The following is a 19,434-nucleotide window of genomic DNA, read 5'->3' as shown; positions in this document are numbered from 1 at the left end:
CTTACCCTACCTGTATTTCACAGTGGCTGAAGCTGAAGTGTCGGATTTACAGATGGATGAGATAAAATAAGATTTTTTTTTTTTTTCAGACGGAGTCTCTCTCTGTCACCAGGCCAGAGTGCAGTGGCATGATCTTGGCTCACTGCAACCTCCACCTCCCAGGTTCAAGTGATTCTCCTGCCTCAGCCTCCCGAGTAGCTGGAACTAGAGGCATGTGCCACCACCCCCAGCTAATTTTTGTATTTTTAGTAGAGACAGAGTTTCACCATGTTGGCTAGGATGGTCTCAATCTCTTGACCTCCTGATCTACCTGCCTTGTCCTCTCAACGTGCTGGGATTACAGGTGTGAGCCACTGAGCCCGGCCAATAAAATGAGAGTTCAAAACTGAATTGCTTGATTTGCTATGCTATGCAATCTTGACTATTAATTATGTAGGTGATTGAGGGAAAAAAATTATTTTTAACACATGGCAATGACATCTTGAGTTTTGTTTAAGAAAATATCTCTGATGCCAAAAAAGAGAATTAAATGAAAGAAAATTAGACTAGGTATAGATTAGTTAAAGCAAACACACAACACACCCAGGCAAATAAATATATGTGTTTTCAAACATCTGTCTTTAATTTCCTTTAAAATTTTACACCTGGACTTCAGAATCTTATTTATAAGAAACAACTCAAGCCCATCCTGTGTAGACATTTATATATTCAATGATATAAAGATTTTTTTAATTCAGAGCTTTATGAGGATGATATAATTCTGTAAAATTAATAAGCCTACTTTTTGTTTCTAGAAACATGTCAAGCAATATGTTCTCAAAAATAGTGAAACAAAACATCTACAAAAGCTGGACAAATTTTTTAATTGGTTTTTTCTTTTAAATTTCAAATTTTATCTCAGATACAAGGGTATACATGCAGGTTTGTTATATGGGCATATTGCACCCATGTGAGCATACTACCCAATAGGTAGTTAGAAAATCCTATTTTTTTAAAAGTCAAAGATGGTTCTACTAAACTGAAAGATAAGTCTCCAGGTGTCAATACATTCCATAAAAGTTAAAGAAAGAGAAGTTCCTGGACAAAAGCCTCTTAATTTGACCCCAAATTAATGTGTACCCTTGTGGGTTCCCTCTATTCCTAGTGACCACACAGGGGATAGCAGAGTATGGAATGTGCAAAATGAGGGTTTGTAGGTTCTCTATTGGTGGGTTCCCTCTATTCCTAGTGACCACACAAGGGATAGTAGAGCATGTAACATGCAAAATGAGGGTGTGGAGGATCACATATCATAGCGAGAATAGATTACCATCATTTTGTCCATAAGCGAAGAGAGGCAACTGTGTGAACTGATCATCCTATATGATGTGGTCTGGCTCTGTGTCTCCACCCAAATCTCATCTTGAATGAGAATCTGAATTTTGATCCCCACATGTTCGGGGAGGGACCTTGTGGGAGGTGATTAGAGCATGGGGGTGGTGAGTGAGTTCTCATGAGATCTGATAGTTCCATAAGGGGCTTTTCCAACCTTCCCTCTGCACTACTCCTTCCTGTTGCCATGTGAAGAAAGATGTGTGCTTTCCCTTCCACCATGATCATAAGTTTCTTGAGACCTCTCCAGCCCTGCAAAACTGTGAACCAATTTAAACATAGCACCTGATGGGTAGTGTTTCAATCTTCACCCTCCCGTCACTCTCCATCCTCAGGTAGGCTCCAGTGTCTGTTGTTCCCTTGTTTGTGTCGATATGTACTTGACATTTAGATTTCACTTATAAGTGAGAACATGTGGTATTTGGCTTTCTGTTCTTGTGTTATTTCAGTCAGGATTATAGCCTCCAGCTCCATCCATGTTGCTGCAAAGGACATAATCTAGTTCTTTTTTATAGCTGCATAGTATTCCATGGTATATATGTATCATATTTTCTTTATCTAGTCTACCATTGATAGGCATCTAGGTTGATTCCATGTCTTTGCCATTGTGAATAGTGCTGCAATAAACATACACGTGCATGGGTCTTTATGGTAGAATCATTTGTATTTCTTTGGGTGTATACCCAATAATGGGATTGCTGAGTTGAATGGTAATTCTGTTTTAAGTTATTTAAGAAACTGCCACACTGCTTTCTACAAAAGCTGAACTAATTTACACTCCTACCAGCTGTGTATAAGCATTCCCTTTTCTCCGTAACCTCTGTAGCACTTTTACTTTTTTAACTTTTTATTAATAGCCATGGCTGGCTGTGGTAGATCACACCTATAAATCCCAGCACTTTGGGAGGCCCAGGTGGATGGATTGCTTGAGTCCAGCAGTTCCAGACCAGCCTGGGCAACATGGCTAAACCCCATCTCTACAAAAAATACAAAAATTAGCCAGACATGGTGGCACATGCCTGTAGTCCCAGCTGCAGGGGAGGCTGAGGCAGGAAAATTCTTGAGCCAGGAAGGCAGAGGTTGCAGTGAGCTGAGATGATGCCACTGCACATCAGCCTGGGTGGCATAGTGAGATCCCATCTCAAAAAAATAAAAATAATAGCCATTCTGACTAGTGTGAGATGGTATCTCATGGTGGTTTTGATTTGCATTCCCCTAGTGATTAGTGATGTTGAGTATTTTTCCAAGTGCCTGTTGGCCAAATGTATGACTTCTTTTGAAAAGTGTCAGTTCATGTCTTTTGTCCACTTTTTGTTGTTGTTGTTAATTTTCTTTTTTCTTTTTTTATTTTACTTTAAGTTCTGGGATACATGTGCAGAATGTGCAGGTTTGTTACATAGGTATACGTGTGGCCTGGTGGTTTGCTGCACCTATCAACCTGTCATCTAGGTTTTAAGCCCTGCTTGCATTAGGTATTTGTCCTAATGCTCTCCTTCCCCTTGGCCCCCACCCCCCGACAGGCCCCGGTGTGTGATGTTCCCCTACCTGTGTCCATGTGTTCTTATTGTTCAACTCCCACTTATGAGTGAGAACATGCAGTGTTTGATTTTCTGCTCCTGCGTTTAATGGGGTTTATTTTTTGCTTGTAAATTTGATCAAGTTCCTTATAGAATCTAGCTATTAAACCTTTGTTGGATGCAGAGTTTGCAAATATTTTCTCTTATTCTGTAGACTGTTTTCTCTATTGGTAGTGTCTTTTGCTATGCAGAAGATATTTAGTTTAATTAGGTCTGATTTGTCTTTTTTGTTTTCGTTGCAATTGCTTTTGGCATGCTTGTCATGAAATCTTTGGTCTTATGTCCAGAATATTTCCTAAGTTATGTTACAGGATTTCTATTATTTTTACTTTTACATGTAAGTCTTTAATCCATCTTGAGTGCATTTTTGTACTTGGTGTAATGAAATAATCCAGTTTTGACCTTCTGCATATGGCTAGCCAGTTATCCCGGCACCATTTATTGAATAGAGTGTCCTTTCCACATTGCTGTTTTCATCGACTTTGTCAAAGATCAGATAATTGTAGGCATGCAGCATTACTTCTGGGTTCTCTATTCTGTTCTATTGGCCTGTGTGTTTTGGTACCAGTACTGTGCTGTTTAGGTTACTGATGAAGAAACTCAAAGACCAGGAACTTTCCCTGGCAGATACAGAAATTGTATCTACACAACTATAATAAACAACAATGTAGTATGGGTGCAGAAACATTAACGAGACCCACAGATGTATGGGAGTTTGTTAAATGACAAAATTGGTATGCAGATTACTGGAATAAGGAGGAACTCTTCTTGAAGTGGAGCTCTAAAAATTAGAAATCCATAGAAAATTATTTCAAACTTAATTCGACCTGATCCAATTCAAGATAAATTAAGGTTTCAGTTATCAGAATAGATGTCAAATCTCATAGTAGAATATAGAAATATACATCTTTTAGACCTTGTGGTAACAAAATGTATGAGACAAGATATACAAAACACTTATAATAAAAGAAACCCTTCAGAAACATGACATTCTTTTTTTTTTTTTTTTTTTTTTTTTTTTTTTTTTTTGAGACGGAGTCTCGCTCTGTCGCCCAGGCTGGAGTGCAGTGGCGGGATCTCGGCTCACTGCAAGCTCCGCCTCCCGGGTTCACGCCATTCTCCTGCCTCAGCCTCCCAAGTAGCTGGGACTACAGGCGCCCGCCACTACGCCCGGCTAATTTTTTGTATTTTTAGTAGAGACGGGGTTTCACCATTTTAGCCGGGATGGTCTCGATCTCCTGACCTCGTGATCCGCCCGCCTCGGCCTCCCAAAGTGCTGGGATTACAGGCGTGAGCCACCGCGCCCGGCCAGAAACATGACATTCTTTAAGAACTTTTATTTAACAAATCATGCCTTAAACAGGGTGAAAATAAAAATGCAAATGAGAAAATATTCACCCTACATTGAACTGACCAAAAACTAAGGTGAAGAATGTATTAAAAACTCTGAAAAATTACTAGGAAGAACATGAAATAAATGAATAATGGACAAGAAATTTGCATGGCATTTTATATAAGAGACAAACCTATTACAAGTAAACTTTAAACAAGGTATTCAACAACACTGATGACCACAAAATGAAAAGACTGCAATGACATATCATTTATATCTCACTGAACATGCAAAAATTAAAACTTCAGGGAGAAACGGTACGAATTAAATAGATCTGCAACTTATACATTGCTGGTCTGCTGTATTTGGTACAGCCCCTTTAAAAAAACACCTTTGTTATTAACTCCTAAGGTTAAATTTTCACATACTCTATGAATCAAGAATTCAACTCTGGACATATACCCAGAGAAAGTTTTGTAATCAGAGACAGGTATAACAATGCTTATAACAGCAATAGGTATTGTAACAAAAACCTGGAAGTACAACTCGGATGCCCAGCTACAAATTTTATATGTAGCATGACATATATTTTTATACAATTAAAAGCAACTAAAATTATACATAGATATTTAAAGAGTACAAATAAATATATTAAAGCTAGTATACAGAGTACTTCCATACACACACCATCTTAATGTGCATACAGATATAATAAAACAATATTAAAAAGAAATGAAATAATAAAGAGAATTCAGGGCAATGATTTGATGATTATGTTGGTTGTGGGATGGCACAAGCTTGGGTGGGCAGGAGAAACATATGGCTACACGTAGATAATTTTTAAATTCCCAGCATTTATTTCAACAGTAGACTTATAGGTGCTTATTATGCTATTTAAAATAGTGATATATATATCTAACTAAAAAAAGAAGCAATCCATACATAGACCAATATAGAAAGTCCACCATTAACTAATGACCAATGTTAGTGATAGCCAAGAATTATGATTAATTCAATTGAATGAACCTGAAAAATCTCATCATAATAAACAAACAAAAATTAAACAGTAATAGAGAATGTGGTTGAGCTTTAGAAAAAAAATAACTCCACCGAAAATGTGAAACCCAGTTTATCCTTACATTAATTTGCCATTAAAATTTACACTGCTATAAGGATGTAACACCAACCTACGAAATTAACTTAATATGACCCAACATTTGTTACCACCACTAGGCTGCCTGGCAGAAGCAAAGAAAAATCCTGTTTGGAGGGATAAATGCTCAGACCTTTTATAATTACTCACGCAGTGCTAGAAAGCATAAGCTCAAACAAAAACAAAATTCACTATAGAAAAGGGTAGGCAGAAACAAACAAAAGAAACATGGACTTAATTTAATAAAATTATTAGACAGACTATAATTAATTATGATTCAAACCTAGAAAACAGAAAACATTTTCTAAAAAAGCAAAAGGTAAATAAAAAGTTCACATCAATTTGATTTAAAAATAGTCTTCTACACTTTATCCTCAGGAGGATGGCTATAATATTTTTTAAAATAAGACAATAAGTGTTGGTGAGGATGTGGAGAAATTGGAAACCTCATACATTGCTGGTGGAAACATAAAATAGTGTAGCTGTGGTGAGAAAACATTTTGATGTTTCCTCAAAAAGTTAAACAGAATTATGCAATTGTGGGAGCTGGAAATCTAAAGTGTTTAGAGCAGGCCACCATACTGAAAATTAAGGCAACAGTTGGTGTAGTAGTCTTTTTTGTTTGTTTTGCTTTTGTTTTGAGATAAGGTCTCACTCTGTTGCCCAGGCTGGAGTGCAGTGTTGCCATCATGGCTCACTGCAGCTTCAACTTCCTGGGTTCAGGTGATCCTCCCACCTCAGCCTCTGAAGTAGCTGGGACTACAGGTGCGTGCCACCACATCCAGATAGTTTTTTGTATTTTCTGTGAAGATGAGGTTTGGCCTTTAGGCAATCTGACCACCTCAACCTCCTACAGTACTAAGATTACAGGCATGGGCCACCATGCCCAGCTGATGTAGCAGTCTTGAATTCAATTTCTGTAAGGCAGCAGGCTGGAAACTCAGGCAGAAAGTCTGGAGGCAAAACTGCTTCTCTGAAAAACCTCAGTGTTTGCTCTTAAAGCCTTAACCTGATTGGATGAGTCCCACTCACATTATAAAAAGTAATCTGCTTTACTCAAATCCTGCTGATTTAAATGTTAACCACATTTAAAAACCACCTTCACAGAAACATCTATACGGGTGCTTGACCGAACATCTGGGCACATAGCCTAGCCATGCTGACATGTAAAATTACATCACGACCACTCTCCAGAATAAGCTTTAAGTGCCAGAATGCAGTGGCCCAATCCCTTTCCTTTGTTGCATTGATGGTAGAAGCATATTTTGAGATAGAGCCTTTTCAGTCCAAGATCCTAAACAACCTATGTTGGGTATACAGCATAAGTTTGAAACATACACCTTTGGTTATTTGGGCATATTTATTTCTATAGTATAATCTAGCCTACGCTAAGAGATATGATAGTTGGATATTATTATGAAAGAAAACAGGACAAAGTAAAATAGCTCCAGAAAGAATGTCTGAGAAGCAAGAATAATGTCTAAGAAGCAAGAGAGCCAGATATTAGTAATCATGGGTACTATAAATAAATATGAACTGTCTAACATAATAATAATAAAGATCTTGATGATGTCTAAATGTGGGATAACAAAATATCAGCGAACTAAAATATTAGAGAATAGTAACATATAATTAGCATTGGATGAAGTGCTAACAAAGATTTGTAAGTTTCTTTTTATCTTCAGGAAAATAGAAATATTAATGGGTTTAATCACTTGCATATATCTTTGTGTGTTTAAGTGTGTGTGTGTGTGTGTGTGTGTGTGATATTTTGTTCTCAAACTAAGAAAGTATGCCTAAAATGGAGGCATTATAGAAAGTGAAAAGATACCTGATCTACAACAGTGTAGTAAATCTCTCATACTAATGACTTTAGCTTGTAGCGCTAGTGAGACTTAAATTATCTAAAGTTGTCAATGCCCTGAAAACCCATCAGACTATGGCCAGGTGGATTTAGTTGAGGAATATCGGAAAGAACTATTGCATGCAAGGCCATCATTTTACTGGTGTGTGTGTGTGTGTGTGTGTGTGTGTGTGTGTGTGTATTTCTTAGATACATATATGTATGTCTAAGAAATAACACTAGATGTGAAAGACTTATCGGTTGATTTTTAAATATTTGGAGGGTATTAACCTATAAAAATGACAGAAAGTAGTATAAGTTGAACATTTCTACTAGGACTTCTAGTATTACTATAAACGAATATAAATAGAAAGTAAATTACATATCCCCCTCCTACAGAAACTCAAAATTTACTAATATATCAAAGCAGTAATGTTAAATTTTGTTCCTTACCTCAGAAAGAGTAATTATTGATTTGAGATCTACCATGAAAATGGACTTCCCTTTCATCAGTGCCACAGATGTTGTATTCCATTAAGTATAATAAATATTTCCAAGCTAAATGTAATACAGAGTTACTCCTGCTTAAATTGTTCTCGTATCTAGCTTCTTACTTAAAATATATTTAAAAGGAATGGTAAAAAATAAAAATATCTGCACAGTGGCTAAACAAAGCAGGAGATATTTTTGGTAGTAAGTCACTTCAAAATGGCCAAATGCATCCTGTTGCAACACCCATAAAGCCAGCCTGGTCTGACATGTCATTTATTGTATGTGTTGGAACAGGTTCACCACATACTCAGTAATGTGCTTTTACTAGCTTTCTTCTTAATATGGGGAGATAATTTGTGACATATTGTAGGTAATACATAGGTCATGTCCTCCTTCTAGCACGTTCTGACTCTTCAGAATTTGCCTGTGGTGTAGAAGAAATAAATAAATAAATAAATAAATAAATAAATAAATAAATAAAGTCAAACTTACCGGAAATAGAACTCAAAAATAAGAGATATGTAAAAACCTTGCCTTCTAGACTGGCCAAAATTTAAAAAGTTTTAATTGATGGGGCATGTCACACATACCAGTTAGGATTGCTAATTGGCAAAATACTTCCTTTCAGGTTGTTTAATAAATGTTTTGAAAGTTAAAAGAAAATGATCAGATACTGACTCCAAAATTCCACACAGTTATATTAAAAAGAATACAATTGAAAATGATACTAATACAAAGATGTATATCACTGTTTAAAGTTGTAAAAAATGGGACAAAATCTAAATAGCTATACATATTAAACAAATATGGTATTACATTTTCATAGAATTATTTGCCAACATAAAGATGGTAATTTATATATGTAATGTATGTATGTCATGATGTATGTGTATACATATGGTATCTATGTATATCATTTCATTTTGTAAGGCACTCATTTAAGTTTACGTATAAGCACATATACATAATATAATCACACAAATGTGTTTCATAGACTATGAAAATAGTAATAAAATATGCAGGCAGTGTGATTATATGATTATATACCATTGAACATTTTTTCATTTATTTAAATGTCTTTATTAAGTGAGAATGTACTGTTTTTGTAATAAAATAACATATTTAGGCACACTGAGTCATGTAGAGATGGTCGCTACGTCAGGCTATAGACTGTGACTTTAAATTTAAGTAAACTATTTTTGATTGTTTTCTTCTGGTGAAAAGAAGACCATGTTCAAGAGTATAAACATGTAAGCATAGAGAAATCAAGCCCAGATAAATATGATATACAAAGCTATGTTATTTTGCTTACTAAAACTGTTTCTATTTCATTCATGTTTCACATACAGTATTATTATTTCTATTATTCCAATGAGGTTTAGTTTGGTAAGGAAAGAGAAGAGGTATCAGAGACAGAAGGAGGGTAATGACAATAAAATGGTATTATTATTCAAGGTAGTTTTTTGATCTTTAATTTCATGGGTTACAAAACAAACAAACAGAACCAAAACTATGACCAAAACTATCCTACAATGGAAACTTGTCCAAGTGCATAATAAAAAAAAAATTGAATGACAGAAACATGCAAAATTATTAAACAGAAACTTATTACCAAAGAATGCAATTGAGATAAACGGAGTTAGTGATCTAATGGTTCTTTATTGTTCTTCTTAATCGTTTCAATTCTAGTAAAAAATTACCCATGAAAAAAAGCTCAAGTATTCTGAACATATAAAAATGACTAAAAGTTAATTTAGCAACTGCATTGATTAATATAGAATCTTCTTTTGTTGCACGGTCCCTTGGTCTTAGTGATATTGGATGGTTTTCCACATATATATATATTCAAAATTATATATATATATATATTCAATTATATATATATATGTTTTTTCACGAGGTTGGCGGAAATCCAGGATGGAATGCAGAATGTGGAAAAAAAATCAAATGGCATTAGAAATATAAAACAACCTCCCTGAATGAAGTTGGGTAAAGGCAGGTGACCTAAATACCTTTGGAAAAGGAATCTAAAATTAAAGACAAAAGATGCTGTATATAAGCACTATACTCCAGTTAAGAGTGCTAATGTGCACACTGAACATAAACAATTGCAAATGAATGGCAATGATAGTAGCCAGATTTCTCACTGTTGCAAAGAGAGGTTACAGATAAGCAAGAGCAGGAAGTTATAGAGGTCCAGGTGTTAATAAAGTAGAATTGGAGACATCATTATGAACTCAGCTTTAGCTTAATATCTATACAGATGGCTACATATAGAAATATGAAGAGATGCTTGCTTACACATACATTTTCTTGCTCTGTCAGCTAAAAGACCCTAGAAACATTGATACCGCAAAAGCAATGAGCACACATAGCTCCCAGATTTCAGGGTCTATTAACATTCTACAATAAAAGGAAGCAGGACTGCTTGGTAAAATAGCTGATACAAACACAGGGCAGGACATATACAAGATAAGCCTGGAGCATCGTGTAATGCAAAGAAGTAAGGAAGTGCTCAGAAAAACAACAAAACCAAAAACCCAAGATGATGGGAATATGTTGAAGGGAAACGGGAGCCAATAGAAAGAGCTCCCTATATAGCCAATTGCTGGAACAATTTGAACCAAAAAATAAATAAACAGTATTGTATTAAACTCCAAAGTATAAAATCAATATCTACCAGTTTATATAAATATAATAAATAATTAAAGGAATTGATAAGTGAAGAAGAAGAGATAAATCTCCTATTCAGAATTCCAAATAATTTATATATATTCTCTGCCATGAAGAAGGTAGAGCGTAACTGTGTATAATGATGTTCTTCCAAAGAGAAGAGAAGTGGGAAAAAAATAAAACAGAATAACTTTATACTTACTTTTATAACACTTTAGTTGAGTTATGAAGGTCAACATCAACAGTAATGAGTCATGTTAAAAGTAGGTACCCTTGATATAATGGGATATGGACTTTCTCCCTAAAACTCTTAAGTCTAATCATAAGAAAAAAATCAAACAATTCCCAATAGAGGATCACTTTACAAAATACCTGATCAGTACTCTCCATAATGTCAAGGTCATCATAAACAAGGTTAGTCTGAGAAACTGCCACAGCCAAGAGAAGCCTAAGGAAACATAATGACTAACTCTAATGTGGGTAAGCCAGATGGGGTCCTGGATGGTCATTAGGTAAAAACTAAAAAAAACACAAGTATGGACTTTGGTTATTATTAATATGTAAATATTAATTCATTAATTGTAACAAATAGACCAGATTAATGTAAGATGTTAATAATAGAGGAAACTGACTATAAAGTGTGTGGGAAATTTTATACTCTTCCTCCGTTTTTTTGTATATGTAAAACTTCTAAAAGTTAATTTGAAAAACTGAAAGAAATGTCTTGAACATATTAAGCACAGGAGAAAGGTGATGCTTGACACAGCTGAAAAGCTAGGTAGGGATCAGCTCACCAGGGCTTTGTAATACATGCAAAGGTGTTTGAAATTTTTTTCACAATTCAAAATGCCAATTTTTCACAATTGGTAATTTAAACCTTGTGTGAAATTTGATCTCACTCATGATTTTTTAAACAGTCTATCAGTTGTGTAGTAGAATGGATTGTAAATTGAGGATGGGTGGGATAAAGGTAAGAAAATTCAAACAGGGGCAACACTAAAGAAACAACTTTAATACAACAAGATTGAGTCAACAGTAGCTGCAAAGATTTGAATGAAAAAGCATGAATTATAAGTACATATTTAATGTAAAATAAACAGGCTTGGTTATAGAACATTGTGTTGAGCTAGAGTGAATTGTTAATAATGACAGATTTCCAGCATTTTAGCAGCAGCACATTTACAGAAATATATAAAAATGCAGGAGAAATCTTGGAAGAAAATATTTAGAATTTCATTTTGGACATGTTAAGTTTGGGAAACTTTGAACGGTGTTAGTGAAGATATCAAGCACTAATTGAATATGCTTAGGAGTCAAAATAAGAAAGAAAATTTTTGGCCGGATGTGATGGCTCATACCTGTAATCCCAGCACTTTTGGAGGCTAAGGCAAGAGGATGGCTTGAGGTCAGGAGTTCAAAACCAGCCTGGGCAAAATAGATTGTCTCTATTAAAAAAAAAAAAAAAAGGGCCTGGTGGTGCACATGCAGTCACAGCTGCTCAGGAGACTGAGGTGGGAGGATCACTTGAGCCCAGGAGGCAGAGGTTGCAGTGAGCTGAGATCACAACACTGCACTCCAGCCTGGGCAACATAGTGAGACCCTTTCTCTAAAAACAAAAAAGAGAGAGAAAATTTTGGTAGTTAAGGCATTAGAGAGGATATTCACAGACGTAAAAACTGAATGAAATGAATTAGTAACAGAAAATAGAAAGTAAAAGGATGGAAACAGAAGAAACAAACATTTGTGTACAATGAGATTTGGCGAATAAAGAGGGAGTGGCCATTTGAAACATACCAATGTGTTTCGAAAGAGGAAAAGTGCTTAACTCTGTTGTTATGAGTTCTAAAAAGATAAGGAGAAAAAAATGTTCTCTTCTATGCAGGAAGACAGTGGTCAGGTATATGTCTTAACGGTCTTGAGTTCCGTTCTGGCAGAGAGCAAGCCAAGCACGGCCAGCTGCCCTCGCCCCGGGGGCGCTTTGGACGCTGCCTGGGCCTGCAGCGAGCTGGGGACGCAGCGGGCGCGCCCTCTGCCCTGCAGACGCCCCGAGACCTAGCTGTGGCAGCCAAGGCCGGGCAGCCAGGCTTTGAAGCAGCGGCGAACCTCTCTTCCCTATTCCGCCTGGAGACCTGATGGCAGCGGCGGCCTTTCCCAGCCCTGAACCCGCTGGCCGCCGGGTCTCTCGGTCCAATCCTGTCGGGCCTAGACAAAGCCCCTGCCGAGCCGCGAGGACTCAGCGACTTTGGGTGGCGGCAGGTGTGTCGGGCCATAATAATGGCGGCCACTTGAGTGTCACGTGACAGAGCCGCTAGGGTGTGGAGGGTCCAGGAAGGCGGTCACAGACGCTGCCTCAGCTAGCTGCCTTCTCAGGTCACAGAGCCGTGCAGATCCAGGTCCTGGGTGACCACTCTGTCCCGAATGAGCAAGAGACGTACCTAGTCCTGACGACAAGGGACAACGGCCTTAACGGGCCTGGAAGGTGAGCAGAGTCCCTACAACGAGTGGAACGGTTAGCGGCACTTGCTCTATGTTCTATCGACCTTGCTGTCGGAAGAGAGAAATGGCAGAATGACATCCCCCATTTGGCCCGCTGGAAATGCCCACCATCTTTTGGGAAGATTTACTGGCTGTTTATAGAATGCCTGCCTATATAATATGAAAAAGCTGCTCTCAACTTCTCCCCCAAAACCTTTTAAAAGAAAACATTTGCCACATCCAGCCCTTCTAGAGTAAAGAGGTTGCCAACGTATGAAGTAGAGTTAGAAAATCACACACCTTGCAAATTCTCATTAGTTTAAAAAGAAGTCATAGAAAATGTCTTCTGGAGTTGACTTTTTGAAATGGAGTTATTAGACCACTTCTGGAAGCAACACGTCCACGTTTGTTCAATGGGCTAGAGGACATGGAGCAGAAGACCTGAGAAGGAAAAGAAGGTTCTGTGCTAGACTAGTCATATTTAGAAGACTTTTCATACTCTATCCATTGTTTTGTGTGCATTTTATTCTCACTACTGTATATATAGTTGACAATGCTAAAGTTTTTGTAAGGTCTAGTCTTTCTAGATGTTCTGAAGTGCCTGATATATGTTAAAATTAGAGGTAGTAAAATAATACATTTTGTAAATATATATGTATATACATAGAACAGTCTTTGCCAAATAGTGCAGGGGAGTCAGGGACTGGAGAGAATGGTTAGGTGAGGAGGTAGACACAGTAAATGTTAAAACATTTATTTCACAAGTTTGAGTGTGAAGTGGAACAGGAATTAGGGCAGTAGGTAGAAGGAGACAGGAAATAAATTTGTGACTTTTCCAGATAGAATTATTATTAGACATGTGGAGGAGAATACTAGGTTCTTTGAGAAGATGAGAGGTAATGGAAACTGAACATATGGGAATGAATAAGTCCTTCATACAAATAGAAATACTTCATTAGAATGAAGGAATGGAGAAGTGAGTGGAAAAAAGAAGACAATGACTAATGAAGAGGATGATAGTTTTAAAATAGTTTTGAGGGTAGAAGAAGAGATTTATTTTTAAATGGTTTCTATTTTCTCAATAAGGTGTGAAACATATTAACTGAAAATAAAAGCAGAAAGAGACTTTTTTAATATTAAGTTAAAAGTATGTAATAAGCATTTTGTGGAGTAAACATACTAAAAAATAATAATCAAACATCTTCCCATGTAGAGTACTCTTTTAAAGAGGTAATCATGACATTGTAGATAAGAAAACATTTGGGTGCTTGGTGTGAGACTAGAGAATGCAGATGATTTATTGATCCAAGGGTGAGGTTTTGACAGGAGAAAGTATAAAGAGTGATAGACTTAATTAACAAAATGCTGAATATAAGTATGGACCATAAAATACAAGCTAGATGAAAAGGAAAGTAGAGGCAGAAAGGGAGTGTCACTACATAAAAGGAAAGGAATTCAATGGATTGTGACAGCCAACTTTTCTTTGGGATAATTAACACTCGTCGCACAAGAAACAAATCCTCAAATTTTCATTGGCTAGTATAACAAAAGGTAATTTCTTAGGCAAGACCATCTTGAAATGTGTTAGTGAGGACTCCTTATTTCATCTAGCTAGGAGTTGATTTAGCCTTCATCCGTGTTGTCATGCTATTATTTTAATGCATGACTCCCAAAGTCGTTTAAGCAGAGGCAGCATGGGATAGAGGTTGTACAACCACTTTTCATTTGGTATACTTTAACTAGAATTAGCCACATGAATTCAGTGTGCTCCAAGGGAGTTTTGAAAGTAAACAGAAGCTCATTTCATTTGGGGAATTTGGCAAATACTTTCTCTGCCACAAAGATTGCTTTCAATGTCATAAATTAGATGAGCTGAAAATCTAGAAAACTGTAGCCAGTTTGAATTTATGATGTTGGCAATCTGCAGTGTTTGTTAACAAAATCTATGGTGTAACCTTGGGATTGTGTGGCTAAAATAGAGAGGATGAAAAGGAATTTGGAGATGACGTTGTCAATCACTGAGCATAAACAAAATTTCAATGAAGAATGCCTACAGATTTCAGCAACCAGGTGGGAAAGAGAAGGTTTTAGGTGAATGGAATGAACTTTAAGAGCTGACAGTGTTAGAAAATAGAGGGGAAGTAATAACCTAGAGTTGATTCTGATGCATGAAGATAATTCCATTCCCAGCTCCCCACCGTAAGATATATAAGGTGTGAGAAAATGTGAAGTTGGAGAGGGAATTTAATGACATCAGAAGACAGTCCAATTTCAGTTAATGTAAGACGGTTAGAAAAATGTTGGACAGGAAAAAGGTGAGAATAATGGGGAGCTTTTATATGCATACATCATCATAAGTGAAGAATTTAGGAAGAAAGGGTGTGGTAGGATCAGCAGAACTAGTAAGGTTCTGTGTGTCATTAGGTAACTGAGATTTCAGGGGATAATGAATTACCAAAAGGCCTACGGTAACTAAGGTAGAGTTACAAAAGGAAACTCTAACTGAAGTTGCAATTTTAAATACTACTCAAATGCATATGAAAGAAAGAAAGCTATATTGAAAATATAATGTGGTGAAAGTGAAATATAAACCTTATCCTGTTGATTATTTTTTTTTTGCCATTTCAACTATTTATCCCTTTCTGCCTTTCCATCTCATCTGAAAATTGCAAATAAGTAACTGATACGGTTTGGACACACCCAAATCTCATGTTCAAGTCCAATCCTCAGTGTTGGAGATGGGGCCAGATGGGAGGTAATTAAAAATGAGGGTGGTTTCTTGTGGTTCAACAACATCTCCTTTGATTCTGTCACTGTAATAGTGAGTTATCATGAGGTATGGTTGTTTAAAAGTTTGTGGCACCTCCCGTTTCTCTCTTGGTCCTGCCATATAAGATGCCTATTCCCCCACTGCCCTCCACCATGGGTAAAAGATTCCCTCCACCATGAGTAAAAGCTCTCTGAGGTCTCCCCAGAAACAGATGCTAAGGTGCTTCCTGCACAGCCTCTGGAACTGTGAGCCAATTAAGCCTCTTTTCTTTATACATGAGCCAGTCTCAGGTATTTTTTTGTAGCAATTCAAGAAGAGACTAATACAGTAACCATATAATAAATCTCCCTATATTTTTCTTAGCAATATTGCATGCTCTAACACATTATCTGTGCCTTTCTATTTAAGATTAACATTTAAAAGTAGTCAAAGCTTTTTTTTTTTAAATCATGCCACTCTTCAATTAAAAGGCCTTTTCACTGACTGAAGTAAAAATTTAGAGGAAAAGTCAATGTAATTACTTGAAGTGTATTATTTTCCTAAACTTGTTACTGTAATGTGATTCAAAAACTTCCCCCCACACACATGCATAACTATTTTTTATGCACAGCCTTAGAGAAATAAAACTTAAGAATTCTGCAGGTTCAGTTGGTATAGATGAGTATAGAAACACTTGATTGAGATACTTTCTTCCAAAAACTAATTTATCTTTGATTTTCCAAATAAATCTTTCAAACTCTTCAAATAACTTGATCCATAACTGGTTCACACACACACACCCCCAAAAATTTTGCATGATAGCTCTGTTTATTAAAGGCCAGGGAGAATGTGAGGAATAAGAATCTGTCAAAAATTTGACAGAACTTCACTTATGTTCAAATAAGCTGTTTAAGAAATGAGCTACATAAATTACAAAGCAAAATCCTAGGACACAGAAGAGCCCAAATATTTCTGAGAATGCAAAACATTAAAATCCTCTTTCATGATAGAAACTAACAAAAAAAAATTTGTGAGAAACATCCTTTATTCAAGATTAATAGAATTCCTACTCCTTACCTATGCCTACCTCCAAATTCAACATGGCCATAGATATAATTTTTACTGTTATACTTCTGCTTGAAAAATAGAGGGAAAAACAAATTTCAGTGAAATTGAAGAACAGACTTAAAACTGTGCAGCAGTGTAATGGACTATTTTTACCGATGAGATCTTTCCAATCCTGGAAATCATGCAGTTCATACGATCATCTATTGGTAAAAAATGTAGAGGTGACTCTTTCATAGGCTGGTAGACCTACGAAAGTACCAAAGTATTTAAATCAATCATTTGACCACAAATGCACAGCCAGTTCTGCTGGTTTTACTAGCCCCAAGTATCAGTTTAACTGAATAATGGGTGATTGACACTTTCTTTGATTTAGTGCCAGTAGAACGTATGTCTGAAACTCTCCCCTTTCTGCCTGAAGTTAGAAGACTACATGTTGAAAGTTTGCTTTGAGCTTGGTTCTTCTTGAACATGCAGCTTCAAATCAATGTCTGTCTGCTCATAAGTTCAACCAAACCAGGACTGCCACTGGCTGCTAAAGGGAAGAAAAGGCTCCATGAAGAATTCCAGCGTACCTCCTGCCCTGGCAGCCATTCTGCTGTTTCTATGGAAACATTCACCAGATAGCAGCATGCTATACTGTGCAAGTGAAGAAGAAGGCATCTTCCTTTCATCACCACATCTAGAGTGTGACCACTTCACAGAATGAAAGAATGTGGTGAACACAGTTCTTTATTCTGACAGATAAATCGTTCAAGAGAAAGGTGAGTTCTCTTCAGAAACTGTATAATACTGCTCTCTCTTTTTCTTCCTCACAGTTAAGCATTTTCTTCAGATTGATTTATATAAGATTATAGAAATGAGGAAGGAACATAATTCACATTTATAAAATGCCTACTATTTACCAGGTACTCTGTGGTGCATTAAGTTTAATATTTCCCCAGGAGAAAGTGGACATTTAGAATTTACATGGCTTGCTCAATGTGGCACAGCATTCAAATAAAGTCGAGATTAAAATTGGTGTAGGACTGATTGCAGAGTCCAATGTGTTTCCTGTGCCTATAGTAAGGAGATATGATGGTTTCTGGGTAACAGGCAGGCAGACAGTGGAGAAAAGGAATAGATTCAGGACCAAAAAGTGGAAGCAATAAAACAGGGTCAAGAGAAGGCATAGTAGAGTTGTGGAATGGGTTGGCAATGAGCTTGGAAGCTGATAATAATATCAGATTTGGGGTAGTAGGTTTAATCCAGGGTCTACTTAGTATTAACTCTCAAAAGTAGTAGCAGGTATGGAGTTAGGAGGATTAGGAGGGTTAGGAATCAAGATGACATTTGAAATTAATTTTATCATATATCAGGGATGTTTTAGTATTTTGGTGCCAATCATTACTTACCCTGGGGAATAAATAGAGGGATACTGATTAAAATGTAGCATTTTACTAATAGTAAGTACTTTTTGACTTAGAGAAAAGAGCCTTGGGAAAAGGTTGAATTGGCACATGGTCTCAGCATGAAGCCTAGGTAAGGCTTTCTATACATGCTGCTCTGGTTTGAATATTCCTTCCAAACTGATGTTGAAATTTAATTGCAATTGTGATGGTATTAAGAGGTGAGACTTTTAAGAGGTGGTTATGTCATGAGGGCATTTCCCTCATGAAGGATTAATGCTGTTATCACAGGAGTGGGTTAGTTATCAAGGGAGTTTGGCCTCCTTTATTCCTCTGCCTTGCATGCTCTCACTCTTTCTCACCATGTGATGCCTTCTGTCTTCCACCAGGGGCCAGATGCCAGTGACATTTTCTTGGACTTCCCAGCCTTTAGAACCATGATCCAAATAAACTTGTATTGTTTATAAATTACCCAGTCTTGGGTATTCTGTTATAGCAACACAAAAGGGATTAAGATACACACCAAGTATAAATAGTGCTATTCATATATTCAGCTTTTCTGAGAGAAAAGAGTGGTGATTTGCTAAGTCAGATAAATCACACCTTATATTGGCTGCCTCTTTGAGAGAACACACAAGTGATGCATCATACTCCTTTCTCACTATTGCTTAAAGCTTTATAGATGATCAATCTCTTATCTGGGTGCTACAGCAAGAAGTTGACCCATCATGTTGTTTGCAACCTGGATTTCTGATGCCAACTGGAAAAAGGGGGTCTCTGGGCCTCTCCTACATTTCTCCAATTTGCTTCACAGCTTTTCCTCCAAAAGAAGGCTCAGCACAGTGTTTGACACAATGATTAAACCATGAATACTGCTACTTCCTTAGATTCTGAGCTATGCAAAGAAGAAACTCCATTTCTAACGTTTCCTTCACATTTTAGTATACTGTATGTGGGAATATGACTTCTAACACCAACCCTCTTCTCTCCTTTCAGTAAATATTTAAATCTCTCTTCTCATTTATAGCATATTTACATTAGCCATTTATCCAGCTATGTTGTAAATTCCTTGAGGCCAATAACTTTATCTCTTTCATCTTTATATTCCCATATCTATCGAGGGCCTGATATGCCATAAGTGTCTTTTAATTGTTTGTGGATTGAATTGTAGCATGCATGTCACTGGATCTAATATTGTCCATTGGATTCCCATAACCAATGCTAACCTGTTTTATACATGACAACTTTTGGAATATATAAGGACACTTAAAATGTCCCCCATTTTACTGATTATTTATTTTTCGGCCCCTACATC

General features: G+C 36.7%; 1 long non-coding RNA gene across 1 annotated transcript; it reads left to right on the top strand.

Annotated features, from left to right (window-relative positions):
• Positions 1-13,002: 13,002 nt before the first annotated feature.
• LINC01815 (long intergenic non-protein coding RNA 1815) lies at positions 13,003-18,590 on the top strand. The gene is made up of 3 exons (NR_110161.1): positions 13,003-13,375; positions 17,108-17,495; positions 18,509-18,590. It is a non-coding gene; the product is annotated as a long intergenic non-protein coding RNA 1815 (long non-coding RNA).
• The last annotated feature ends 844 nt before the right edge of the window (positions 18,591-19,434 follow it).

The sequence above is a fragment of the Homo sapiens genome, chromosome 2 (assembly GCF_000001405.40).
Source record: "Homo sapiens chromosome 2, GRCh38.p14 Primary Assembly".
NCBI lineage: Eukaryota > Metazoa > Chordata > Mammalia > Primates > Hominidae > Homo > Homo sapiens.
This window is presented reverse-complemented; position numbering and strand designations above follow the sequence as displayed.